The sequence below is a fragment of the Homo sapiens genome, chromosome 16 (genome assembly GCF_000001405.40).
Source record: "Homo sapiens chromosome 16, GRCh38.p14 Primary Assembly".
NCBI lineage: Eukaryota > Metazoa > Chordata > Mammalia > Primates > Hominidae > Homo > Homo sapiens.
The window spans coordinates 66,906,366-66,931,745 of record NC_000016.10 but is presented as its reverse complement, the minus strand read 5'-3'; the positions used below and the strand labels follow the sequence as shown (position 1 = coordinate 66,931,745).

Below are 25,380 nucleotides of genomic sequence, written 5' to 3'. Positions count from 1 at the left end.
TTTATCTGATCAGAAAATGAACAGTTCCTCAACACCATCTAATACCCAGGCATATCTGGATTTCCCTAATGTGTCATCATAGTTGTTTTTGTTTTGTTTTTGAGACAAGGTCTTACCCTGTTGCCCAGGCCCAGGTGCAGTGGCAAGATTGTAGCTCACTGCAGCCTCCAACTCCTGGGTTCAAGCAATCCTCCAGCCTTGGCCTCCCAAGTAGCTTGGATTACAGGCATACACCACCATTCCTGGCCAAATTTTTTTTTCTTTGAGGGGACACAGTCTTGCTCTGTTGCCCAGGCTGGAATACAGTGGCACAATTATACCTTTCTGCAGCCTTGACCTCCTGGGCTCAAGCGATCCTCCCACTTCAGCCTCCCGAATAGTTGGGACTACAGGCATGCACCACCGTGCCTGGCTAATTTTTAATTTTCTTGTAGAGACAGGGTCTCCTAGGTTGCCCAGGCCGGACTCTAGCTCCTGGGCTTAAGTGATCTTCCTGCCTCATCCTCCCAAAATGTTGGGATTACAGGTATGAGCCACCCCAACCAGCCCAATCAAAAGAATATTTATTTATTTATTTATTTATTTATTTTTATTTTTTATTTTTGGGGGTAGAGATGAGGCCTTGCCGTGTTGCCCAGCCTGGTCTCAAATTCTTGTCCTCAAGCAGTTCTCTCACCTGGTCCGCCAAAGCACTGGGATTACAGGCTTGAGTATCACACCTAGCTGTTTTTCAGTTTTTTTAATTCAAAAAAACATTTTGTTAAGAGGTAGTGTATTGCTCTGTCACCCAGGCTGGAGTGCAGTGATGTGATCAGAGCTCACTGTAGCCTCAACCTCCTAAGCCCAAGTGATCCTCTTGCCTCAGTCTCCCGAGTAGCTGGGACTACAGGCGTGTGCTACCATGCCAGGCTAATTTTTTAATTTTTTGTAGAGACTGGGTCTCCCTATGTTGCCTAAGCTGGTCTTAAACTCCCAGGCTCAAGCCCCACAACCTGCTGGGATTACAGGTGTGAACACCACGCCCAGCCCTTTGTCTTTTTTCACAGTGATTGTTTGGAAAAGTTCAGAGAAGTCCCAGTTCTGCAGTCTGATTTGTTCCTGATTTGTGTTGCCTTTAACTGGAAATTGGTCTAAAGGCCTCAGTGAGTCCAGGTTTGCGCTTTTTGATGAAAACCCTGCCCAGGAGTGGCATATATATTTTATAAGCCCACTAGTAGGTGTGTGATGCCAGCTTTTCCAGCTGTTAGTGATGGCCGTCTGGTCCCTGATAAGGGCAGTGACATCAGACTTCTCTGTTGAAGGGAACCTGAGGCACCCTCTCAATCAGCCCTCCCAAAGGCATGTGTCACCCCCAGTGTTGAGTAAGAGGGAAGCTCAGCACTGTGAAGTGACGTGCTCGGGTCTAAGGCCTCTGCCTCCCCTTGGCCCTATGCCCAGATTGCATTTGGTCACCTGGACAGACTGTAGGGCTTAGACCTTGGCTTAGCTGGTTAGGATCACTTTCCCAGGGGGAGCATCCTTCCTGCTTTAGTCTCATTCTCTGAAGATAAATGGCAATATTAAGAAGCAGTGCCCAACCCCACCTCATCCCTACTGAGGCCCAGATATGATTGTGGGCAGAGAAGCCTCAGTAGGGATCCTGGCCATTTTGCAGATCTGTTCTTGAGGGCCTGCTGACAGCATTGAGCCTATCCTAAGAGTGGAATTCAGTCGAGGGCTTTACACTTACTATCTAGTCAGTTCTCCATCCAGCCCTATGCAGCAATTGCTATCCTCTCTCTCTCTTTTTTTTTTTTTTTTTTGAGACACAGAATCTCGCTATGTTGCCCAGGCTGGAGTACTGTGGCTATCCGTAGGTATGATTATAGCACACTACAGCCTTGAATGCCTGGGTTCCAGGGATTCTCTTGCCTCAGCCTCCTGAATTCTTGGGACTGCAGGCATGTGCCATCACACCTCGCTTGCTATTCTTTATCCCCAATTTTCGGACAGGAAATGGGCTTCTAGAATAAATGTAGTCAGACCTCCATTATCCATGCGTTCTACATCCATGGGTACAACCCGCTGTGGATCGAAAATGTAGTTAGGCCTAGGATGACTGTGTCTGTACTGGACATGTACAAACTTTTTTTCTTGTTGTTATTCCCTAAACAATGCAGTCTAACAACAACTTACATAGCATTTACATTGTATTAGGTATTACAGTAGTAATCCGGAGATGACTTAAAATATATGGAAGAATGTGCAGAGGTTAAATGCAGATACTGTGCCATTTTATATAAGAGACTTGATCTCAGCCACTGAAGTTGAGTTTAAAAAACAAAGTAAAAAAATATATGTAAAGGAGTTAAGTATTCATGGATTTTGGGATTCATGGGGATCCTGGAGCCAATCCCCTGTGGATACCAAGGGACAACTCTAATTTACTTCTCAAGACATCTAGCCGGGCACGGTGGCTCACACTTGTAATCCCAGCATTTTGGGAGGCTGATGTGAGGATCGCCTGAGCCCAGCATTTTGAGGCAAGCCTGGGCAACATAGCAAGACCCTGTCTCTAAAATAAAATGTGTGTGTGTATTTAGTGGGGAATGGTGGTGCATGCCTGTGGTTCCAGCTACTCGGGAGGCGGAGGTGGGAGGATCGCTTGAGCCCAGGAGGTTGAGGCTGCAGTGAGCTATGATTGTGCCACTGCACTCCGTCCTGGGTGACAGAGCAACACCCTGTCTCAAAAAAAAAAAAAAACTTACAGCTAGGGAGTAAAGGAGGCCCTGAGCAGCTTGATAGGTGCTGTGCAGCTGGCAGGGGGCGCCGTTGCCTACAGAAGGGGCTAAGCCCATCCTGAACCCCAACTCCTATTGCTCCCACTCAGCTCACTCTTAGGAGGGAGTGGCCTCGCCACCTAATGACCAAGAGGAGGTGCTGGATCTGGCTACCTAAGATCAGAGAGGTGAAGCCATCAGCCCCTATTGCCCAGAGCTTCTTCATCTGTGAGGGGGATAGTCATGGCAACCACTTGGGACTGCCCTTGGGAGATTTAAATGGGTCTAGGCCTAGCTCTGATGATCTAGGCACTGTATCCCGCACAGATGAGGAAGCTGAGGGCTCCAGAGAGGCAGAGTGAACAGCTGAGCCCCAGGGAGCCTTCCCGAGCTGAAGGCCTCACACCCTACGACGTGTGTACCTTCTGCCGGACAGTCCCTGTCTGAGGTGGCCATGGTGTCTGTGTTGAGCTGGGGATGAAGGGAGTCATGGGGGCGGCAGGTGTGATTGAGTCATTTGGCTGGCCTTCCTGGCAGCCAGGCCATGGTGGGTGAGGGACACCAAACTGCTCATGCCACAGCTGACATATCAGATAGTTCTCTTGTCACTCTTGACTCATCAGTGCCTGGCCCCTGGCTGCCTGCAGGGCCACCATCTGTGCATCCTGGGCCAGTGCCCAGGGAACTTTCTGGAACCCCAGATGCTATCTGAGGACACAAGGGTACAGGGGATGGTGAAGTTTGAGGTTCCTGAAACCCTCCACCAGGTATGTCTGGCTCTGCTGTTTCTGGCCTGTGACTCCTCAGGCTTTGGTTACCATGTCTACAAAATGGGAACAACAAATCATAGCTGAGTTTGACCCAGGGATTAGATGACATGTATGAACATGCCCGGCCATGTCTATTTTTGCTCATCATCCTGCCCCCAGCACAAGGGCCTGGCACACAGTAGGTATTTAGTACAGGACCGCGGAATGAATGAATGCATTGGGCCTTAGAACACAGCAGAGGCTCTGGGGCCTGAAGGCTGTGGTGTGAGGAGGGGGTGGGGACACTGAAGCCCAGCCCAGTTCCCTCTGCAGCATCTTGTCACCTGAGGGACGGGGAAGAGTGTGGGGTCCTACAGAGAGGAGACATGGGTATGGGGCTAGGGGAGAGGTATCTGCATTGTTCCTGAGACCTCTGCCCCACTCCTGGACAGACCACCATCCTGGAGAGAGTGGAGCAGAAACAGGAGAGGGACCACAAATTCACCTAACCTGCCCCATCCAACGAAGGATGATCATGATAAACGTGCTCTTAGTGAGATATTACTGTGTGCCCGACTTGAGCCAACTACTGTGCCTCTGCATTTCATGTTTGTTTTGTCTTATAATAACCATCAGGAAGAGGTGATCCCTGTTCTACACTGGAGAAACTGAGGCTCAGCCTAGATAAATGGACACAGGTGAAACAGCTAGCAAGGAGCACAGCTGGGATCTGAAGCCCGGGCGGACCTAGGAGTGGTTCTAGCCTCAGTTTATTCCTCCTGGGCAGCCATGCTCAGCCCAGAGAGCTGGGAGAACCAGGTGGTGGGAGTGGGGGTGTCTCAAGGTTGTGTCCTGGTGTTAATCCCTGGGGCCCCTGGCCATATCTAGCTTGTGGTGAGTGTCTCTGGCCTGTTGGAGCAGCCACTGGAATGCCTGGGGCTTGAGTGGCCCTTTGTGGTTGCAGTTCCCTTGGCAATGAAGAAACACTGCTGAGGTCAAGAGCTCAGATTGCCAGAGGGGAAACCCAGCCCTCCTTCTTTGCATGGCCCCCTGCTGGGAAGGGCCACAGCTACCCCCCACCCTCGCCCTCTGCCAGACACCCAGAGGAGGCTCTTTCCAGTGGCACAGTCATGGGGTTGGAGGGGGCACAGGCAGCCCAGCCAGGATTCCTCATGGGAAGTGTGTGGTGGCTCTTTAGACTTGCCTGCTAACGGGAGGCTCTGCCCATAACTTCCTCTTCCCACTGGAGTTCGTTCAGGAAGCCAGAACCAGCATGGGGATGCTCAGGCCTCCAAGATCCCCTAGGACCATGGGCAGGCCACCCCTCAGCCCAGCTTTTGCCTACTTTGAAGACCTCAAGGACAAGAGGGCCCTAATCTTACCGAGCCAGGCCCTCCTCAATCCAAGGCCTTCTTAGGCGTTGCCAAGGAAACTGATGCAGCAGCCAAAGAGCCTGGCCCAGGTCTCCATGACAACCTACCACAGCCCACCAGGGTCCATCCATCTGTGATGTCACCTGAGCCCCAAATGGATGCCCTCCCACCCCCACCACACTTGTCACAATCAGATGTCACAGTCTGATAGCAGGTCCCTGTCACAAAATACCTCACAGCCTGACCTGCAACCCTCAGACCCCTGAGAGATGAGCAGGGAGCTAAGACACTCCTCATGCCTTGACCACACCCTGTGTTTATGCCCCTTTTGGGTGGGGGCCTGAACCTCCAGGCCCTGGATGTGCCCTGGGTGGCTGGCTCAGCCTACAGCTAGAGGGAAGAAGGGAGACCTTGACGACTCGAAGTGGCTGGCTCCTGCTGGCATTCAACACCCATTGGCCTGGATTTCCCCAACTCTGGGCAACTTCCAGTCCAGGAGCAGAATAACCAGAGCCACGGCCAGGGCCAGGGCTGGGGCAGATTATTTATTTTTAGCAGAGTTGCTGGCAGCTGCCTGGTGGGTGCTGGGAGGTGGGATGGGGACTGAGTTTAATCCCTTCCCTCTTCTGGGCTGGGGTATCCTCCCCAGGGTTCAAGCAGGCATCTCCACCTGCAACTCTGTCAGAGCTGCCCCCACCCCCAACAGCCCTCTCAGGGCCCCCAGGGGCTCATGGGGTGACACCAACCCTCACACTGAAGGTTAGGCTCATTAGGGAGAATCTTCAACTCCAGGATGGGGAGTGGAAAGGATTTTGTGTGAATTTAGGACACCCCCTAAATTCTAGCTCAGACCTGAGCCTATGGGGAGTGGGTGTCATGGGCAGAGAAGGGGGATCTCTGTCCAGCCTGTAACTAGCTTACTTGCTAAAAGGACGAGCCGGGACTTGGGGAGAGGAAAGGGAGAATTCAGTCTCACGGGGCCAGACCGAATTCTTCTCCAGAGGGCAGTTGCTGCTTTTGGCTGATTGGGTTTACCCCGCTGCCTGCCTCCCCATCACGTACTCCCCCCGCAACCTCGCTCTCTCTCTCCTTCTCACACACACCCTCAGCTCCGGACCTCGCCTACCGGTCAGCCCCTCTATTCCCAGACAGCTACCGCTACTCCCCTGGCGGGTAGGGCGGGGTGTCGGGGATGTAAGGTCCGAGGAAGAGGGTGGGGGATTCCCCTGGTGGGGGTGGACAGACACGTCAGCCCCCGCAGCAGCGTGGACCGGGGGCGGGAGCGGGGGCGGGTGGAGGCTTAAATAGGCGGCTCTGGAGCCAGAGCCCAGTGCGGGCTGAGAAGGCGGTGGCTGCAGCAGCAGCGGCGGCGGAAACCCTAAAGTCCGAGTCCGGACTACGAGTGCGTGGCCTCCTAATCCGGATCCTAGTCCTGAGCGTGTCTGTGTGCGAGTGGGTGAGTGTCCTGGCGGAGCGGGGTCGGGGCGGCTGCAGATGGATGCGCCAGGTCCGGAGGGGTCCCGGGTGAGGGCGCCGCGACCTGGGGGCTGGGGGAGGGCTGCGGCGGGACCTCGGCCGGAGCATCCCGCCTGACTCCGGGTTGGGCAGGTGCGCCCCGGGTCCCGCCTCCCTCGCGGCTTACACGGCCACTCGGGTTCCTGATCCCCTAGACGGTCCCGGACGCGATGACCCTGAACGGCGGCGGCAGCGGAGCGGGCGGGAGCCGCGGTGGGGGCCAGGAGCGCGAGCGCCGTCGGGGCAGCACACCCTGGGGCCCCGCCCCGCCGCTGCACCGCCGCAGCATGCCGGTGGACGAGCGCGACCTGCAGGCGGCGCTGACCCCGGGTGCCCTGACGGCGGCCGCGGCCGGGACGGGGACCCAGGGTCCCAGGCTGGACTGGCCCGAGGACTCCGAGGACTCGCTCAGCTCAGGGGGCAGCGACTCAGACGAGAGCGTTTACAAGGTGCTGCTGCTGGGGGCGCCCGGCGTGGGCAAGAGCGCCCTGGCGCGCATCTTCGGCGGTGTGGAGGACGGGCCTGAAGCAGAGGCAGCAGGTGAGGGGACCCAGCTGTTCAGGGGAGGGGCGATCCCGGGGCTAGGACTAGGGGCTGAGACCGGTACTCAAAGCCGCAAATACCGTGGAATTATAGTTGTTGTTGTTGTTATTATTATTATTATTATTATTTTATTATTATTTTGAGACAGAGTTTCGCTCTTTTTCCCAGGCTGGAGTGCAGTGGCCTCGATCTAGGCTCACTGCAACCTCCGCCTTCAGGTTTCAAGGGATTCTCCTGCCTCAGCCTCCAGAGTAGCTAGGATTACAGGCGCCTGCTACCACGCCCGGCTAATATTTGTGTTTTTAGTAGAGTTGGGGTTTCACCATGTTGGCCAGGCTGGTCTGGAATTTCTGACCTCGTGATCCGCCCACCTTGGCTTCCCAAAGTGCTGGGATTACAGGCGTGAGCCACCGCACCTGGCCAATACTGTGGAATTCTATTGGCGCTTTCAGAATCATGCCTCTACCTACCCACTTCATAAATGGGGAAAGGAAAGGAGAAGGGACACCCCCCAGCCTTTGGTAGGGAAGAAATGCCCAGAGTAGAAGGCCAGGGCATAGATATGGCTACTCTGTGGGATGGGACTGGACATCCCTCCCTGCCTATCAGGGACAGGTCAGAGTTTCTAACCAGAGGGATTTCTAAGAGAGGAGCCCTAGGTGGCCAAGGTCCCCAGGGGGGGCATGTGGGTGGAGGTCAGGCACACCATGCCCTCCAGCCCCCACTTCCCTGCCTGGCACTGCTGTTGCCACATACCAGCATCTGCAAGTGGAGTGGAGGGTAAGGAGGGCTCTGGGGAAGAGTTGGAGGGTGTGGCCAGAACAGGAAACCTGGCAGCAGCGGCTTTGACAACCAGCTGGTAACCTGTCTACTGGCCTTCTGCCTAGGGCACACCTATGATCGCTCCATTGTAGTGGACGGAGAAGAGGCATCACTCATGGTCTACGACATTTGGGAGCAGGTAGGGTGCAAGCAGAGACCCAGGGCAGGGGAGGGAGGAGTGAGTTGGGTTAGAGGTCTGGGAGTGCCAGGCTCGTGTCGGGGGCATGAGGACTGTTGGGCAGATGTGTGTTGTGTGTTCTCCAGGACGGGGGCCGCTGGTTGCCCGGCCACTGCATGGCCATGGGGGATGCCTATGTCATTGTGTACTCAGTGACGGACAAGGGCAGCTTCGAGAAGGCCTCAGAACTGCGGGTCCAGCTGCGGCGTGCACGGCAAACAGATGATGTGCCCATCATCCTCGTGGGCAACAAGAGCGACCTGGTGCGCTCTCGTGAGGTCTCGGTGGATGGTGAGTAGGCGGCAGGTTGCAGGGGGAGGGAGAGCCCAGCTGGGCCCTGATCCAGGCAGTCTTGGCTCAGCTTGAGTCCCTGGGGATCATCAGAGGCTAAAAATGTTCAGAAAGAAAACTGGCGGGGAGGGAAATGGGAGAGAGCTGGTGCCTGCTCACAGGGCTCCGGAAGGCCCCAGAGGGCTGGGGAAAGAACCAAATCTGATAGGGGAGCTGGGCACCGCAGGGCCCTCCTCTCCTGCCCCTCTTGGTCCTGGCCTGGCTGGTTGGGGGGGTAAATGGGTGGAAGAGAGTGTAGGGGAACAGGCCAGGAGGTCAGAGCCTGTGTGCTAGGTCTGGGCCATTCTTAGAGTAGACTTGGCCCTGGGGAAGACCCTTCCCACTTGGCCTCAGCATCCTTTTCTGTGGACCCCAGTACTGAGCCCCTCAGAGGAACCCAGCAGTGACTTGGTGACCTTGCCTCCGCAACCCCAGTCCACTGGATCATTCATCATGATATAACCTCGAATTAAAAAATACTAAGTTGTGCGGGGCATGGGCCAGGGGGTGGCTAACGCCTGTAATCCCAGCACTTTGGGAGGCCGAGGCGGGTGGATCACGAGGTCAGGAGATCGAGACCATCCTGGCTAGCATGGTGAAACCCCATCTCTACTAAAAATACAAAAATTAGCCGGGCGTGGTGGCGGGCGCCTGTAGTCCCAGCTACTCGGGAGGCTGAGGCAGGAGAATGGCGTGAACCCGGGAGGCGGAGCTTTCAGTGAGCAGAGATTGTGCCACTGCACTCCAGCCTGGGAGACAGCGAGACTCTATCTCAGAAAAATAAAATAAAATAAAATAAAATACTAAGTTGTCCAACATAGTTCTCATTTTCCTGTGTTTACTACTGTCGTACTTTGTTTAAATATCAGGCTTCAAATTATTTCAATAAATGGATCTCCTTTTGAGGGCCACTGTTTTGGGGGCTCCTTAAATGCAGGCACTCTGCCTACTGGGTGACGCAGCAGTGCCCAGTACCCTCAGTACAGGAGCTGGGGTCTCTGTGTTTTCGGGGAGGACCTTGCAAATTCTCGAGTGGCAGCTTCCATGGGTGGCCACTGTTGGAGGGGACTCCTCATTCACCCACCCTTTGTTTACTGGTGCCTGCCTTTCCCCACCCACACAGAGGGCCGGGCCTGCGCGGTGGTCTTTGACTGCAAGTTCATTGAGACATCAGCGGCATTGCACCACAATGTCCAGGCGCTGTTTGAAGGTGTCGTGCGCCAGATACGCCTGCGCAGGGACAGCAAAGAAGCCAACGCACGACGGCAAGCAGGCACCCGGAGGCGAGAGAGCCTTGGCAAAAAGGCGAAGCGCTTCTTGGGCCGCATCGTAGCTCGTAACAGCCGCAAGATGGCCTTTCGCGCCAAATCCAAGTCCTGCCACGACCTCTCGGTTCTCTAGGTCCCACCCGCTCCCACTATGGTGGGAGACGAACGGAAGGGTTGGTGGGCTGGCCCAGCCAACTGCCCCGGGTGCCTCAGAGCAGGCTCAGACTCTGGGTCCCTCGGAGCTGCCAGCCGGGCACCCCCAACCTCATGGTCATGGACAGATAGACAGTGCTGCCCTGCGAAGTGGCTCTCAGGGGCCAGTGAGGGCTGGGCCCACAGAGATGCATGCGCAGGCTCATATGCGTCCCAAGCAGCCGCAGCGCAGCCGCCGGGCAGGCCTGCGTGCCGGGAGAGGACTCTGCCTTTTTTCACAGCCCGGGTGTGCCTGCCCTGGAGGGAGGCTCTTCAGTGCGGTAGCTATTTGTTTACATGCAGATTTTTGTAATAAAGGCTATTTCCTGATAGTCATGGCTGTTGACTCTCTTTCCTCCTATCTGGGCGCTTCAGGAGCTGGAAGGATTTCTGAAGTTGAGGGATGGGGGCTCACTGCCCCACCCTAGTGTGTGGCCATGATGTGTTAATGTGAGGGTCCAGATTTAGCCAGCTGGGATGGGCATCGGGTCTGGTTAGAGGTTCAAGGAGCAGGAGACACAAACCCCTCCCAGTCCCTGTTATCCAGATTCTTCTCTTTCTGCACTGGGGCCTGGCGTTGCCCAACTGATTGAGGGTTCAATCACTTCACTGTCCATAAAGGGAAACAGGCTGCTCAGGGGAGCACATTCTGCCCTGGGTCTCACAACCAGGCAGGAACCCTGGGTCTCACAACCAGGCAGGAACCCTGGGTCTCACAACCAGACAGGATCTGGCTCCACAGCTGGTATTTCTGCCCTGTTCCCTCTTGAGGGGCTGGAATCAGCTGAGGTTGGGGATAGAGACCTCCGAGGGGTGGTTTGTGAAGGCACACACAGCTCCACATGGCTCCTCCACCACTTCACTGGGGTTGAGCTACGGAGGAGGCACTCACTGTTCTCTCTACCATGAGTATCCAGGCCAGAACATTCCATGCTCAGCATTGGCTAATTCAGTTTTGGTGGGAACAGCTGCCGGGAGCCCGCCCTGCCTGGAATGAGAGGTCTTGCATTTGTATAGGAAGGTGTACTCGTGCTTATGTTTAGGGATGCACCTGTCTCCCTGCCCACCCATGCCCATGGCTCCCTCACCCTCGGCACAAGTGCTGCTAAGAGTTTTTATCTACATGGTCTCAGGAAAAACCATCCCCATCTGGTGCTGGGTGGGAAGTGGCTGAGTGGGGACTGGTATACAGGTCTGCCCATCTCCAAAGCCTGGAGGCAGCCTGGGGCGAGGTGGGGGGCAGTTTCTAAGAAGGTTCTGGGCCAAGGTCCATACATTCCTTCCTTAGTTCAATTTATTCAATTTATTCATTCCCTCACCCTCGGCACAAGTGCTGCTAAGAGTTTTTATCTACATGGTCTCAGGAAAAACCATCCCCATCTGGTGCTGGGTGGGAAGTGGCTGAGTGGGGACTGGTATACAGGTCTGCCCATCTCCAAAGCCTGGAGGCAGCCTGGGGCAAGGTGGGGGGCAGTTTCTAAGAAGGTTCTGGGCCAAGGTCCATACATTCCTTCCTTAGTTCAATTTATTCAATTTATTCATTCCACAGACTCCAGGGAGCCCTGGCAACCTGGTTAGAATCCTGATTGCAGCTTATTGAATGGCAGGAGGAGGCTTGAGGGCTGCCCCTCCATGTACAGGGGAGCGCTGAGATTCACCCACGTGCTCCCCAGGGCAGAGGTAACTGCTCAGAGCTGTTGCTGCTCTGCCCCTCCTCCCCACATACTTCAAGGAATGCAGAAGGCATGGTATTTTCAGATCAAGTGAGGGTCCCCAGGCCTTCCTGGCTCTGTCACTTATTGACTGTGTGACCCTAGGCAAACCACTCAGCTTCTCTGTGCCCCAGCATGTGCCCAATGCCCCTTCAGAACGCAGTATGTGGCATAATGAAGGTATGTGCTCAGAGCAGTGCTGGGCACAGAGCAGGAGCTTAACACGTGTGAAACCCCCTTCAACCTCCCCACACTACACTGCTCCAGGCTGGGTGCCAGAGTGACCCTGAAGCAGGCACTCAGCTTGTGACAAGGCTGGGGGCAGCTGGGGGTAGCTTCTGGCCTGAGAGAGACTAATCAGATGTACAGTGGGAAGGACTTCGTGGGGACCATGGGAAGCTCCAAGGCTGGAGAGGGACTGGAGACCTTCTTCCCACCCTCTCCCCTCATTCCAGACTCCCAGGCCCCAGAAGCATCTCCTGGCTCTGCTTGGCTGCCCTCATTGCGGGGAGAGCCCCTGTTCAGCCCTGCAACTCCCTCAAGGTCACCTGAGCCAGTTTAATCTTCTTAGGGGCATGAGACTGCCCACTGTCTCAGCCCTGTCACTGTTGAGTGGCCAGTGTAAGGACTTCGGGAGCTCATAGGCTGCTGCACTCCCCCACCACAGGTCCCCCTGGGGGGGGTGGTCTGGAGCCCCAATACCCACTTCCACTCATGTACTGCTCACCCATCCTTTGCAACCTCCAGCTCCTTGTCTTAGTTCCACAAGCCATGCGGAGCTGCCAGGGCAGAATGAGAGCCAGGTCATTCCTGAGTCCCTGAGTTCTGCTCTCAAAGGGCTCCCAATCTAATGGAAGAGGCAGACAATGACAAGCTGGTGTCCTCTGTGTATTAATAGAGATAGCACATGGCATGGTGTGAGGGGGAGGGGCATTCCCAGAGGAGGCTCCTGAACAAGCCTGGGAACATAGGGGAAGTTTCCTGGAAAAAGGAATATTTGAGCTGAGCACTGAAGCATGCATGAGCAGGTGCTTACCACACAGATGAATGAGTGGGAAGGGTGTTCCATGCAAAAGGAACAGAGTGTGAAAAGGTGTGGCTGCAGACACTGGAGCCTGGGAGATAAGTCAGACCAAGTCTGGAGCCACAGAAAAAGTAACGTCCAGAACCAGAGGGCCAAGGAATACCTCCTGGGCTGTGCTGGGGTCGAGGGAGTGCCAGGCCAACCATCTCCCCACCTCCTGGAGCTGGCAGTCACGGATGCTGAGCAGCTCCTGGCTTTCCAAAGTCAATGAGTAACTTGGGGGGCTGGGCGGGGCCAGGCCTGCTGCTGTGGGCCCAGTGGCCTTTTCCACTCCTGAGCAAGCGTGGCTGAACCCTCCTACCTGCTCAAGTGCCCTGCCTTGCCCCACCCAGCCCAGCCTGGCCAGAGCCCCCTGGAGAAGGAGCTCTCTTCTTGCTTGGCAGCTGGACCAAGGGAGCCAGTCTTGGGCGCTGGAGGGTGAGGGGCTGGGAGTGGAGGGGAGGGCATGGCTGAGGCTGAGGTTGGTGGTGGGGAAAGGAGAAACACTGCCCTGTCCTCGCCATCTGGGAAAGAATTCCCAGGGCCTCATCTTAGAGGGGTTGTCGATTTGTCGCTGCTCTGCCTGCCCAGCTCCATGACAAGGGCTGGAAAATGATGAGACAAGGGCCGGGCTCCTGCTCCGGGGGTTCTCCTTGTCTAGAAGGTGGCAGTGGGAGGCAGGACAGTCCCAGAGGCCCTGAGCTAGGAGGACTCCTCCTGTGGTCAAGTCCTCTGTGACCTTGGCCAGACCCCAGCATTCAGGCCTTGCCTGCAACAAGAGGTGACTTCAGGAAGTGACCCTCCAAGTCTTCAGGAACTTTCCAGCTTCAAACTTTTGTGATTTGGGGGATTGCTAGAAAATTACCACTTTGGGATCTGCGGCCTGGGGAGGCTATGGTGAGAAGGAGCTGGAGGTCTGGAGGTGAAATTCTGATAGAGTGCTTGATGGACCAAGAGCCTAGAAGCAGGGTGGCTGGGCCTGGGGGCCTTGGTGGGCCTGGCCGAGGAGCAGGGCACTACCCTGCAGGAGATGGAGAGCCTCAGCTCCTTTGGAGGGGAGGAAGAGAAGACTAGTCTGCAGTACGATCCCACTAGTTGTGTGTGTGGGATGGAAAGCCCCTCCCTACCCACCTGGGCTGGATCCTCACTGCCGTGTCCCTCAGGCCTGTCCTGACCATGGTCCCTGCCTGGCTGTGGCTGCTTTGTGTCTCCGTCCCCCAGGTGAGCTAGGCCCTGCCCCCTCTCCTTCAGGTCTTGGCTTTGGGGGTTGACACCCTTGCCCCCAACTCCACCTGGACCAATTGCACTGACCGTGAGAACGGTGCAAGGCATGGGAGGGGTCAGAGCTGGGACTATAGAGCCACTGTGGGATGAGGAGGTCAAAGACCAGAGCGCGGGTGGATGGACTAAGGTACAGCCAGGCCCTGGGAAGGGGCGGAAATTCCGCTCTTCTGTTGGGTCTCAGTGCCCACGCAGGAAGATAGAGCCTGGTGACAAGGTGAGAATCCTCCCACAGGCTCTCCCCAAGGCCCAGCCTGCAGAGCTGTCTGTGGAAGTTCCAGAAAACTATGGTGGAAATTTCCCTTTATACCTGACCAAGGTGAGCCGGAGAGCTGGGGTTGGGGCCGGGGGGATCCCTCCCCGCAAAGTCCTGCTTCTCCTTCCTCTGGCACCCTTCCTCTTGCTGTTTCTCTTTGAAATCCTGCTTTCCAGAGAGTATGTACACGTTACACAGGTTGAGTGTCCCCTATCTGAAATGCTTGGGACCAGAAGTGTTTCAGATTTTGGATTTTTTTTTTTCTTCAGATTTTGGAATATTTGCATATATATCATGAGATATCTTGGGGAATGGAACCCAAATCTAGATAGGAAATTCATTTATGTTTCATATACATCTTATACACATAGCCTGAAGGTAACGTTATACATTTTTTTTTCTTTTGAGACGAAGTTTCGCTCTTGTCGCCCAGGCTGGAGTGCAGTAGCATGTTCTCAGCTCACTGCAACTTCCACGTCCTGGGTTCAAGAGATTCTCCTGCCTCAGCCTCCTGAGTAGCTGGGACTACAGGCATGCACCACCACTCCTGGCTAATTTTTTTTTTTTTTTTTTGTATTTTTAGTAGAGACAGGGTTTCGCCATGTTGGCCAGGCTGGTCTTGAACACCTCACCTCAGGTGAGCCGCCCGTCTTGGGCTCCCAAAGTGCTGGGATTACCACTTTGGGATTTGCGAGCTGGGGAGGCTATGGCCAGAAGGAGCTGACAGTACAGAGGTGAAATTCCGACAGAATCCTTGAGTGGCCAAGAGCCCAGTGTGAGTCTGCTCCTGGGCGAATATTTTTAATGATTTTGTGCATGAAACAAAGTTCTGACTATGTGTTGACTGTGACCTGTCACATGAGGTCAGATGCGGCATTCTGTACTTGTCACATCATATTGGCGCTCAAAAAGTTTCAGATTTTGAGTATTTCAGATTTCAGATTTTCGGGTTAGAGATGCTCAACCTGCAGTGGGAATGACTAACAGATTTTAATCCTAGTGGAGAGCAGAGCTTTAGATTAAAGAACGAAATCTCGGTGGTGAGGTTTCAAGCTTCAGAAAGAAGGGCAGAGAGTTTTGGGGAGCATCAGGTCCAGGGAAAAGAGTTCTGGCTCTGAGTCTCAGTCCTGATGCTTACTGGCTGTGTGACCTCTGACAGGAGCCAGATGTCTCTGAGACTCAGTTTCCCCACATGTAAAATGAGGCCATCAGGTGGAGGAGGGGCATCTCCCAGGCCTGGCCACCGCTCCCTTCACTTCTGTTCATTTCCATCAGTTGCCGCTGCCCCGTGAGGGGGCTGAAGGCCAGATCGTGCTGTCAGGGGACTCAGGCAAGGCAACTGAGGGCCCATTTGCTATGGATCCAGATTCTGGCTTCCTGCTGGTGACCAGGGCCCTGGACCGAGAGGAGCAGGCAGAGTACCAGCTACAGGTATGGCTGGGCCAGGTGTAGGGGAGAGCAGGCAAGGCAGAGCCAGACGCTGACTCCCCTTCCCTGCCAGGTCACCCTGGAGATGCAGGATGGACATGTCTTGTGGGGTCCACAGCCTGTGCTTGTGCACGTGAAGGATGAGAATGACCAGGTGCCCCATTTCTCTCAAGCCATCTACAGAGCTCGGCTGAGCCGGGGTACCAGGCCTGGTGAGTGACCAGGGCAGCCAATTTACAGTAAGGTCAGGTGGGCCTTGATGGAACAGCAGAGAGCGAAGAGATGGCCAGACAGTTGGCATAGGACAGGGCAGCCATTTCTGTCCCATTTCTTTTTTCTTTTCTTTTCTCTTTTTTCTTTTCTTTTTTTCTTTTTTTTGAGATGGAGACTCACTGTCACCCAGGTTGGAGTGGAGCGCAATGGCGCGATCTCAGCTCACTGCAACCTCCACCTCCTAGGTTTAAGCAATTCTCCTGCTTCAGCCTCCCAAGAAGCTGGGATTACAGGCACCCGCCACCATGCCCGGCTAATTTTTTTTGTATTTTTAAAAGAGACGGGGTTTCGCCTTGTTGGCCAGGCTGGTCTCGAACTCCTGGCCTCAGGTGGTCTGCCTGCCTCAGCCTCCCAAAGTGCTGGAATTACAGGCATGAGCCACTGCACCTGGCCCATCCTGTACCATTTCTGTCCCACCTTGTTCCTCCCTACTCCACTGAGGGTGCCATCCATTCTTGGCTTCAGTTTGCTCATCTGGGAAGTAGGACGAAAAGCCGTGGCTCATCTCCGGAGTCCTGATGTGATAATGGATAGGGAAGAAAGGACAGAGGAGAAATAGGAGAGGCATGGGAGACTCTCCCCACCCTCTCTATCCCTTACAGTTTGCCCTCCCACCGTGAACCAGGCATCCCCTTCCTCTTCCTTGAGGCTTCAGACCGGGATGAGCCAGGCACAGCCAACTCGGATCTTCGATTCCACATCCTGAGCCAGGCTCCAGCCCAGCCTTCCCCAGACATGTTCCAGCTGGAGCCTCGGCTGGGGGCTCTGGCCCTCAGCCCCAAGGGTAAGCCCGAGCGGGGTGTGCTGGGGAGGGAGGGTCAGAGAAAGCTGGAGAAGGTGGTATCTGAACCATAAGACAAGCATGGGTGGGAGCTTGAGAGGTAAAAAGGGAGGGAAGGGCACTCTAGGTGGAGACAGCAACAAGGCAGGGGGCTGTGGAGGCAGGGCCAGGCATGGAGAGCTAGGAAATGGTGTGAATGGAGGGCCTCAGCTCCACACTCCACGGAGACCTGGGCCTAAGGGACAAAGATAGGAACAGTCTAAGGGGTTGTAGCCTAAGATGCTGCTGGGCAACCTTGCGACTGATGGCGGAAGAGACCTGGACCTGGAAGCTCAGACCAGAGGCATGAACTAGGGTTGGAAAGAAAAGTGAATCAGGCATCATCATAGCCAGCCACGCATTCACCCGTCTACCGCCCAACAACCTACACAGTCCATCCAACCTCCCATCACTCATCCAAACACTCTCCTATTCACACACTCAAACTCCCATCCACCTACCAAGTCAACCACCCATTCATCCAACCAACCCATCATCTGCCATCTACCCATCTCCTCATCCTGGTCATCCACCTACCTCTCTAGTCTATCACGCATTCGTTGTGTGGAGAGATATGGAGGTGGCTTTGCAAACTGTCATGTCCTTGTTGGAGGCTCACAACAGTGCTTAAAGTTCCTCTCTTCCCTTGGCCAAGAGAGTGTCCCAATCACCTGCTGTATGCTTGGTTTTGTGTCTGGTATCTTGCTGAGAATGATGCCCTGGCCCCTGCTCCCTGGCTGCCTGCTCAGCTGACCATCCTCCCTGTTCTAGGGAGCACCAGCCTTGACCACGCCCTGGAGAGGACCTACCAGCTGTTGGTACAGGTCAAGGACATGGGTGACCAGGCCTCAGGCCACCAGGCCACTGCCACCGTGGAAGTCTCCATCATAGAGAGCACCTGGGTGTCCCTAGAGCCTATCCACCTGGCAGAGAATCTCAAAGTCCTATACCCGCACCACATGGCCCAGGTGAGTAAGTGGCTGTCAGTGGCTGAAGCAGCCCCATGGATGGTGCAGCCAGGCCCGAGTCTCATGGATATTTGGGGGCTGGGTCTGGAACCCTCATGACCCGTGCTCCTCCCTCCACTCTTCCCATTACTTCCCACTGTGGACTGGGGTGTTCAAGGCCCTGGACGCAGGCCCACAGCCCCTCGCCTGCTCTGCCATCCTCTAGCAGGCGTGACTCTGTGCTCTGACCTCTTGAACTTGCCCAGGGCTTCCTCAGAGAGAACAGCTGCCATCTCTTGCTGCCATGGGGATTGTCACCCCGGGCCAGGAATGTCTCAGGCCTCTTCTAGGAATGCCCTGGGGTCAGGCCCAGGCTGAGAGGGCAGAAAATAAAGTAACATGGTCACTCAAGCACTTTGGGCAGGGTCCAGGCTTGGATCAGGGCAAGGCCACTAACAACATGTGCCCTGAACAGAAGGATCCCACCTGGACTCCAGGCCCAGGGAGGGCAGCACCTTGCCTGGGTCACACAGTTGGGCTCAGGCTCCTCAACGAGAAATCAGATGGGGCGCAAAGGCTGACATGGATTGTTCCTGCCCCTTGGCCCGGGGTGTCCCCCCCAGGTACACTGGAGTGGGGGTGATGTGCACTATCACCTGGAGAGCCATCCCCCGGGACCCTTTGAAGTGAATGCAGAGGGAAACCTCTACGTGACCAGAGAGCTGGACAGAGAAGCCCAGGCTGAGGTGATATGAAGGGGGAGCCAGGGATGCAGGCTGGGGGTGCTTGGTCAGTGTCCAGTTGGCTTTTGGGGGTGTCACAACTACAACAGAGGCTGAGGCAGTGGGAAAGAGCCCCGAAGAGCTGGAGCTGGCCCACCGGAAGGAAACTCAGAGCCAGGCAAGGCTGGAGCTGCCCTTGGTCCTGACCTGAAGCCCCCTACTGCCCACCGCAGTACCTGCTCCAGGTGCGGGCTCAGAATTCCCATGGCGAGGACTATGCGGCCCCTCTGGAGCTGCACGTGCTGGTGATGGATGAGAATGACAACGTGCCTATCTGCCCTCCCCGTGACCCCACAGTCAGCATCCCTGAGCTCAGTCCACCAGGTGAGCTACAGGATGGGAGAGGGACGAAGTCTCTATTAACCACCTGGTCTTGCTCTTCTCTGGGATAAGGACCCAGCCTCAGGCCCCCATGTCAATGTCCCTCCATAACACACACACACACACACACACACACACACACGAGCTCAAATTCAGTTTAGTTTGGCACAAAATAAGGAGTGGGTGGGGTAAGGTCTCCAGGCTGGGCTGTGGTCCTATCCAGGCGGGTGCTGTCTTGGCAGGTACTGAAGTGACTAGACTGTCAGCAGAGGATGCAGATGCCCCCGGCTCCCCCAATTCCCACGTTGTGTATCAGCTCCTGAGCCCTGAGCCTGAGGATGGGGTAGAGGGGAGAGCCTTCCAGGTGGACCCCACTTCAGGCAGTGTGACGCTGGGGGTGCTCCCACTCCGAGCAGGCCAGAACATCCTGCTTCTGGTGCTGGCCATGGACCTGGCAGGCGCAGAGGGTGGTAAGTGCCCTGATTGGTGACCCAGGCCCCCTGTCCCCTCTGTTCCTACCCTGACCTCACCAACACGTCCACCTCTGCCCTAGGCTTCAGCAGCACGTGTGAAGTCGAAGTCGCAGTCACAGATATCAATGATCACGCCCCTGAGTTCATCACTTCCCAGGTAAGCAGACGCAGGGGAGAAGGCCTTGGGAAGGATGCTGGTGGGGGGCTCACCATCCCTCCTCCTCCTCCAGATTGGGCCTATAAGCCTCCCTGAGGATGTGGAGCCCGGGACTCTGGTGGCCATGCTAACAGCCATTGATGCTGACCTCGAGCCCGCCTTCCGCCTCATGGATTTTGCCATTGAGAGGGGAGACACAGAAGGGACTTTTGGCCTGGATTGGGAGCCAGACTCTGGGCATGTTAGACTCAGACTCTGCAAGGTGAGGGCCTGGGTAGCTGGGAAAGGGGCCCACACATGCACGCATGCATGCACATGTGCCTTGCCCAGGCCCGCACAGTGACCTGGGCCTCCTGGTTCCAGAACCTCAGTTATGAGGCAGCTCCAAGTCATGAGGTGGTGGTGGTGGTGCAGAGTGTGGCGAAGCTGGTGGGGCCAGGCCCAGGCCCTGGAGCCACCGCCACGGTGACTGTGCTAGTGGAGAGAGTGATGCCACCCCCCAAGTTGGACCAGGAGAGCTACGAGGCCAGTGTCCCCATCAGTGCCCCAGCCGGCTCTTTCCTGCTGACCATCCAGCCCTCCGACCCCATCAGCCGAACCCTCAGGTGAGCTAAAATCCCAGCCCCTTACCTGGACTGGATTGCCCCTGCTCCCTGGGGATGACCCCAGGGCCTCAGAGGGGACTCACATTATCTGTGGCCTGCAAAATTTCTCAAACTATGGCAAATGCCAAGGTTGTGACTCCTGGCAGGGATCGGGGCTGGATGGACTGGGTGGGGCATGGAGAGGGGTGTTTTGGACCCCATGAGAGCTCAGATTATGCCTCAGCACCTGGAGGGAGGACCAGGCCCTCCTCCAATGCCCCCCAACAGATTGCAGACAGACAAGGTTGTTCATAGACTCTGATTCCCTTGCAGGGTGACCTGGAGTGAGCAAAGTTGAAATGGGCCTCCCAGGCTCTAAGAGTTTCTCCCTTACCCACATGATCTGTTCTTCATCCCACACCCACCACCACCACCACAACAAATCCTGAAGCTGGAGAGAGAGACTGGGCCCCCCAGGCTTTGCTGTGGCCCCTGAGTCACAGAGAGGGTGTGGAATTTAAGCAAGTCACACAGCCCTGGGGGATTCTGAGCAAAACCCTATATGTAGTCCCAGTACCTCCTCACCTCCTTCTTTGGGCGGCAGGTTCTCCCTAGTCAATGACTCAGAGGGCTGGCTCTGCATTGAGAAATTCTCCGGGGAGGTGCACACCGCCCAGTCCCTGCAGGGCGCCCAGCCTGGGGACACCTACACGGTGCTTGTGGAGGCCCAGGATACAGGTATGGCCAGGCAGTGATGGGAGCCCCTGGGAGGGGGTACAAACCTCAGACAGACAGACAGCAGGACTGAGCTTCCTCCCAGAGGCCCTCACTGGCAACCCCCAGCCCCAAGCAGGAGAGGCAGATATGAAGCTGGGTTCAATGTTCCTCTCTGAGAATGGATCTACTCCTCCGGTGGGCAAGTCTGGCATCTGCCTCCCCTCTCTGATCATTCTCCTAGATTGACACACAAAATCTCCCAGCCCTGTCCTTTAGCCACTGGAGGGCCTCTCAGGGTGTCAGCTTCAGGGACTGGTATAGGGCCGGGGAGGTGGCAGGAGGACCAGGGGCTGCCCCTGGGGAAGGAGTGCTGGAGTGAATGGGCCACTGGAGCCAGGTGTGGAGGACACTGAACACTGCTCAGGACAGAGAGCTGGCCCTGGGGTGGGGAGCCCCGGGAGGCAGGTTTCAACTCTGAGCTGGGCTGTGATACAGGGCAGACCCAGCAGCAGTGAGCTCCGCCAAAGTCAGGGATGTCCACAGTGGCATGGGGATGATGACAGGTGGAGAGAAGCATGGAGGGAGCATGGCAGGGGAGTCTATAAGGCGAGGCTCATGGGCTGCGGGAGCAGCCCAGGGACCTCAGAGCTCACCCTCCCCCTGGCAACACCTGGCCAGCTCAGCACTGCCTCCTCTGCAGATGAGCCGAGACTGAGCGCTTCTGCACCCCTGGTGATCCACTTCCTAAAGGCCCCTCCTGCCCCAGCCCTGACTCTTGCCCCTGTGCCCTCCCAATACCTCTGCACACCCCGCCAAGACCATGGCTTGATCGTGAGTGGACCCAGCAAGGACCCCGATCTGGCCAGTGGGCACGGTCCCTACAGCTTCACCCTTGGTCCCAACCCCACGGTGCAACGGGATTGGCGCCTCCAGACTCTCAATGGTGTGTGGTGGGGAAAGGGAGGGAGGCTGTGGCCAAGGCAGGGAGGGGGTGTCACTTGGAAGTGAGATACCCTTCTACCATGGGGGTGGGGCTAGGCCTAGGGGGAGCAGCCCCCAGAGGGCCTGTCCAGGCTGGTGACCCTGGTCTTTGCCTGCTGTCCCAAAAGGTTCCCATGCCTACCTCACCTTGGCCCTGCATTGGGTGGAGCCACGTGAACACATAATCCCCGTGGTGGTCAGCCACAATGCCCAGATGTGGCAGCTCCTGGTTCGAGGTGAGATTGGGCTTGGGTGCAGCCTGCAGTTCCTGAGGGAACCGCTGGGATGCAAGGGGAGGGAGCTGGTACACATGCATACAGGCTGCTCATGTGGACAGCACATGCCTGTGCACACTTGCACACCTATGGCTGGGCACACATACCTGGGCACACAGGAACAGGCACAGAGGCACATACATTTTTTTTTGAGACAGAGTCTCACTCTGTCACCCAGGCTGGAGTGTAGTGGCATGATCTCGGCTCACTACAACTTCCGCCTCCCAGATTCAAGCAATTCTTCTGCCTTAGCCTCCCAAGAAGCTGGGATTACAGGTGTGCACCATCATGCCCTGCTAATTTTTGTATTTTTAGTAGAGATGGGGTTTCACCATGCCAGCCATGAACTCCTGGCTTAAGTGATCCACCCATTTCGGCCTCCCAAAGGGCTGGGATTACAGGTGTGAGCCACCACGCCTGGCTAGCGCATATATCTTCACACACATGTGAATACACACATGTGCAGAAACACACACATATCAGCCAGGTGGCTGGGCTGGGGGCTCTGAGCAGCTGGGGAGCCCTCCCCTCCCTCCCCTTACCTTCCTCCCCTCTCCCCTCAGTGATCGTGTGTCGCTGCAACGTGGAGGGGCAGTGCATGCGCAAGGTGGGCCGCATGAAGGGCATGCCCACGAAGCTGTCGGCAGTGGGCATCCTTGTAGGCACCCTGGTAGCAATAGGTAATGGAGGTTGGACATTACCTGCGTGGGCGAGGGCGATGGGTGGTTGGGACCACAGCCTCCAAATAAACACCTTTGTCCCCATGGTGCCCCTAGCTCTGAAAAAGGAAGCCCCCAACTCTCCTAGTCATTATGCGCCTGCCCTTTGATCATAGTCATTGTCATCATCATTGATAGTAGCATCTACGGTCACATGATTGCACATTGACTGTGTGGCAGGGACTATTGCCAGGAATCCTCCCAGCAACCCTGTGAGGTAGATCCTGGTATCTCCCCATTTTGCAGATGAGGTCATTGAGGCTCAGAGAGGTTAAGTGACTGGTCCAAGGTTACACAGTCAGGTTGTGACAGAACCCAGGTCTTTCTAGCCTAATTGCATCAGTCTAAGCCACCCCTTCTATCCCCTTTATTTCTTTAGCCCCTCAAATTTTCTCCTTGCTGGTTTTCCTTGCTGGTTCTAGCACACTGCTGTGATGAGCCTTTCTCTTGGAGGTCCATGGAGTTGGGATCCAACTTACTGGTTCCCCGATGTCCCCAAGAGAAGGGGACTTTGGAGGCTGAGTATACTGGGTCAGCCTCAGAGGGGTAGGGGCCAAGCCGGCCGAGGAGTCAAGCTTCTCCAGGCACCACCACAGAGTCATACCCAGCCCAGCCTCAGGATGCTGTCCAGGAAACTCATCTCTTCATTAATCCAATGCCAATCACAGGAAGTCCCTCGTGATGAACAAGTCCCACAGCCCCTTCTGAGGCCTGATACATCCCTCTTGGGCCCCACAGGAATCTTCCTCATCCTCATTTTCACCCACTGGACCATGTCAAGGAAGAAGGACCCGGATCAACCAGCAGACAGCGTGCCCCTGAAGGCGACTGTCTGAATGGCCCAGGCAGCTCTAGCTGGGAGCTTGGCCTCTGGCTCCATCTGAGTCCCCTGGGAGAGAGCCCAGCACCCAAGATCCAGCAGGGGACAGGACAGAGTAGAAGCCCCTCCATCTGCCCTGGGGTGGAGGCACCATCACCATCACCAGGCATGTCTGCAGAGCCTGGACACCAACTTTATGGACTGCCCATGGGAGTGCTCCAAATGTCAGGGTGTTTGCCCAATAATAAAGCCCCAGAGAACTGGGCTGGGCCCTATGGGATTGGTATGTCTGTGTCTCAGTGTCTATGTGTGCATGTGTGTGTGTGAGTGTGCACACACCTGCTTTTTCATCCCTTCCCCATCTCCTGCCACATAGAAAGGGTCTGGGCTTGAAGGACAAGACTGAGGTCCCCTGCAGGGAAGGACATGAAGACATCATATGGGCTATTGGTGAGAGCTTGGGGCCACAGCAAAGTGGGTCATTTTTGTGGGCATCCAGAGCCCACCAGCTACAGACCCTGGATGGGTGAACTCTATGCAGGTGATGGTCAAGGAGGGGTGTCTTTGAGGGTGTCATCTCTGTGTTTTCCTGGATGTCATCTTTGCTATGGGAAGGCAAAACCTTGTGAGTCCCCATCTTCTGCTCATGTGTGAGCACCTTGTGCTCCTGTGCATGAGTCACCTACACCCAGGGATGGGCAGAGGCCCCTCAGTCTCTGCAGGGCCCTGGGCAGGATGGTGAGGCCCCATGGGTCAGGAGCATGTGAGGTGAGGCTGGGGATGCGTCCTTCTGCCCCAGTGTAGGCTCCAAGGCACTGCTGTGTTTCACACACAGGCTGGTGAGTGCATGAGGGCATCTGCAGGAAATCAGAGAAGGGGAGTCACTTAGATGGAGACAATCGGAGCGGGACAGGCACCCCCGTGGCTTACTCTGGAGCTGCCCCTCTCTGAGGTGAACCCCTGACCCTGGCCCAAGATTAAGCCATGTCCTGATGCTCTGCTGAGCCCGGCTGAGCCCTGCTAAGTAGGAGCTGAGCTCTCCAGATTGACCTCTAATCCCTGACCTGTGGGTGACTCAAGATACATGCTGATCCCCATGTCCCCTTCTCAACCATCTCTGGGGAGTCAGGGTGGGACTTGCTGTCCCAAGCACCATGAGCTGATGATGGTCAATCACGGGAAAGGGAGAAAAACAACCTCTGTGGGGCCCAGGCCCTATTTTTAGGAGATAATCTCTCCACTATTGGCAGATTCTGTGGGATAGGGGCCAAGCCCAGCTAAGAGAGACAGGGCGGGCAACCTGGCAAAGACTCAGCCAGGATCCCCAGCCCAGGGGTTGGACTCTGAGGCTGGCCCCTGTCATCCTGGCTCAGGTACCCCCACTGGAGGCTCTGCTGGCTACCCTCATCCAGGCAGGGATTCCCTGCCCCTCTGCCAGGATATCCTCTGCTCAGCCTGCATGCACTCAGAAGTCTTCAGGGTGCAAATCTTCTGGAGGTAGTGTCTCATCTAATCTTCCTATCAACCTACGAGGGTGGATTATTGGCCCCATTTTGCAGTGGAGGATCTTGAAGATCAGGGAGGTTAAGGGCCGTAGCTGGGAGTCTTAGAACCACGGTACATGGCATAACTATCTGTCCAAGGTCCGTGTTACCTCTCTGGAAATGTCCACAGCGTTCAGGTGGTCTCTGCTCCCTCAAGATTTCCCAGCAGGGCCTTAGAGATCACCCAGATCAGCTCTTTCTTGTAAAGATGGAAAGGTGAATTGCAAAGAGAAGGAGGGAAATTTCTAGGTTCATACAGCCATAAGATGCGTCACTTGAGCTATAACCACCACTTTCTGGCCCTTATCCTAGATGGATAAGTAGGGAGATAGGAGGGTGCATGGGTGAATGAATAAGTGGATGGCTAGGCAGATGCATGGCTGGATGGATTGGTGGGTAGATGGATGGGTGGGTTGGTAATCGGGTGGATGGGAGACCCACAGACGAAAGGGTGGATGACAGGATACCAGGGCAAATGAAGGCATCTGCTCTAGTTTG

The 25,380-nt window shown here is 55.7% G+C and overlaps 2 protein-coding genes across 9 annotated transcripts, besides 7 other annotated features; both read left to right on the top strand.

The window, feature by feature from the left end:
* Positions 3,392-4,591: an enhancer, noted in NCBI's record as "P300/CBP strongly-dependent group 1 enhancer chr16:66961058-66962257 (GRCh37/hg19 assembly coordinates)". NCBI's record gives its function as "activates an origin of replication core promoter dependent on BRD2, BRD4, P300/CBP, MED14 and CDK7 cofactors, with strong dependence on P300/CBP, by STARR-seq in HCT116 cells {active_cell/tissue: HCT116}" and the evidence as "EXISTENCE:reporter gene assay evidence [ECO:0000049][PMID:35650434]".
* Positions 3,505-3,674: an enhancer, noted in NCBI's record as "active region_10944". NCBI's record gives its function as "activates an Ori minimal core promoter by ATAC-STARR-seq in GM12878 lymphoblastoid cells {active_cell/tissue: GM12878}" and the evidence as "EXISTENCE:reporter gene assay evidence [ECO:0000049][PMID:35858748]".
* RRAD (RRAD, Ras related glycolysis inhibitor and calcium channel regulator) lies at positions 6,211-10,061 on the top strand. 2 transcript variants are annotated; one of them, NM_004165.3, is made up of 5 exons: positions 6,211-6,337; positions 6,552-6,936; positions 7,827-7,900; positions 8,026-8,230; positions 9,393-10,061. In NM_004165.3, the coding sequence occupies exons 2-5, from the start codon at positions 6,567-6,569 to the stop codon at positions 9,668-9,670; spliced, it is 927 nt and encodes a 308-aa protein (NP_004156.1). In that variant the 5' UTR covers positions 6,211-6,337; positions 6,552-6,566; the 3' UTR covers positions 9,671-10,061. The 2 variants fall into 2 exon arrangements, with proteins under 2 accessions (NP_004156.1, NP_001122322.1); NM_001128850.2 differs by having other exon boundaries at positions 6,543-6,936.
* Positions 6,217-6,276: a silencer, noted in NCBI's record as "silent region_7572". NCBI's record gives its function as "represses an Ori minimal core promoter by ATAC-STARR-seq in GM12878 lymphoblastoid cells {active_cell/tissue: GM12878}" and the evidence as "EXISTENCE:reporter gene assay evidence [ECO:0000049][PMID:35858748]".
* Positions 6,407-6,846: a silencer, noted in NCBI's record as "silent region_7571". NCBI's record gives its function as "represses an Ori minimal core promoter by ATAC-STARR-seq in GM12878 lymphoblastoid cells {active_cell/tissue: GM12878}" and the evidence as "EXISTENCE:reporter gene assay evidence [ECO:0000049][PMID:35858748]".
* Positions 9,057-9,580: an enhancer, noted in NCBI's record as "H3K27ac-H3K4me1 hESC enhancer chr16:66956069-66956592 (GRCh37/hg19 assembly coordinates)". NCBI's record gives its function as "activates a minimal SCP1, AML or CMV promoter by ChIP-STARR-seq in naive H9 embryonic stem cells {active_cell/tissue: H9 hESC(naive)}" and the evidence as "EXISTENCE:reporter gene assay evidence [ECO:0000049][PMID:30033119]".
* Positions 9,581-10,104: an enhancer, noted in NCBI's record as "H3K27ac-H3K4me1 hESC enhancer chr16:66955545-66956068 (GRCh37/hg19 assembly coordinates)". NCBI's record gives its function as "activates a minimal SCP1, AML or CMV promoter by ChIP-STARR-seq in naive H9 embryonic stem cells {active_cell/tissue: H9 hESC(naive)}" and the evidence as "EXISTENCE:reporter gene assay evidence [ECO:0000049][PMID:30033119]".
* CDH16 (cadherin 16) lies at positions 12,861-23,624 on the top strand. Of its 7 annotated transcripts, none has more exons than NM_001204745.2 (18): positions 12,861-12,942; positions 13,668-13,725; positions 14,021-14,104; positions 15,317-15,472; positions 15,543-15,681; positions 16,368-16,526; positions 17,334-17,530; positions 18,133-18,255; positions 18,465-18,615; positions 18,855-19,082; positions 19,166-19,242; positions 19,316-19,504; positions 19,606-19,847; positions 20,431-20,564; positions 21,361-21,486; positions 21,653-21,760; positions 22,363-22,479; positions 23,257-23,624. In NM_001204745.2, the coding sequence occupies exons 2-18, from the start codon at positions 13,681-13,683 to the stop codon at positions 23,352-23,354; spliced, it is 2,373 nt and encodes a 790-aa protein (NP_001191674.1). In that variant the 5' UTR covers positions 12,861-12,942; positions 13,668-13,680; the 3' UTR covers positions 23,355-23,624. The 7 variants fall into 7 exon arrangements, with proteins under 7 accessions (NP_001191674.1, NP_001191673.1, NP_004053.1 ...); NM_001204744.2 differs by having other exon boundaries at positions 21,310-21,486; NM_004062.4 differs by having other exon boundaries at positions 21,244-21,486.
* Positions 19,299-19,800: an enhancer, noted in NCBI's record as "H3K4me1 hESC enhancer chr16:66945849-66946350 (GRCh37/hg19 assembly coordinates)". NCBI's record gives its function as "activates a minimal SCP1, AML or CMV promoter by ChIP-STARR-seq in primed H9 embryonic stem cells {active_cell/tissue: H9 hESC(primed)}" and the evidence as "EXISTENCE:reporter gene assay evidence [ECO:0000049][PMID:30033119]".
* Positions 23,625-25,380: the final 1,756 nt, after the last annotated feature.

What these genes read in the sequence shown, in the direction of transcription:
- RRAD (NM_004165.3), top strand. Translation starts at nt 6,567, where the DNA reads ATGACCCTGAACGGCGGCGGCAGCGGAGCGGGCGGGAGCCGCGGTGGG. An exon ending in GCCTGAAGCAGAGGCAGCAG is followed by an intron (nt 6,937 to 7,826) that starts GTGAGGGGACCC and finishes CCTTCTGCCTAG; the next exon opens with GGCACACCTATGATCGCTCC. An exon ending in TCTACGACATTTGGGAGCAG is followed by an intron (nt 7,901 to 8,025) that starts GTAGGGTGCAAG and finishes TGTGTTCTCCAG; the next exon opens with GACGGGGGCCGCTGGTTGCC.
- CDH16 (NM_004062.4), top strand. Translation starts at nt 13,681, where the DNA reads ATGGTCCCTGCCTGGCTGTGGCTGCTTTGTGTCTCCGTCCCCCAG. An exon ending in AGGCAGAGTACCAGCTACAG is followed by an intron (nt 15,473 to 15,542) that starts GTATGGCTGGGC and finishes CTTCCCTGCCAG; the next exon opens with GTCACCCTGGAGATGCAGGA. An exon ending in TCTGGCCCTCAGCCCCAAGG is followed by an intron (nt 16,527 to 17,333) that starts GTAAGCCCGAGC and finishes TCCCTGTTCTAG; the next exon opens with GGAGCACCAGCCTTGACCAC.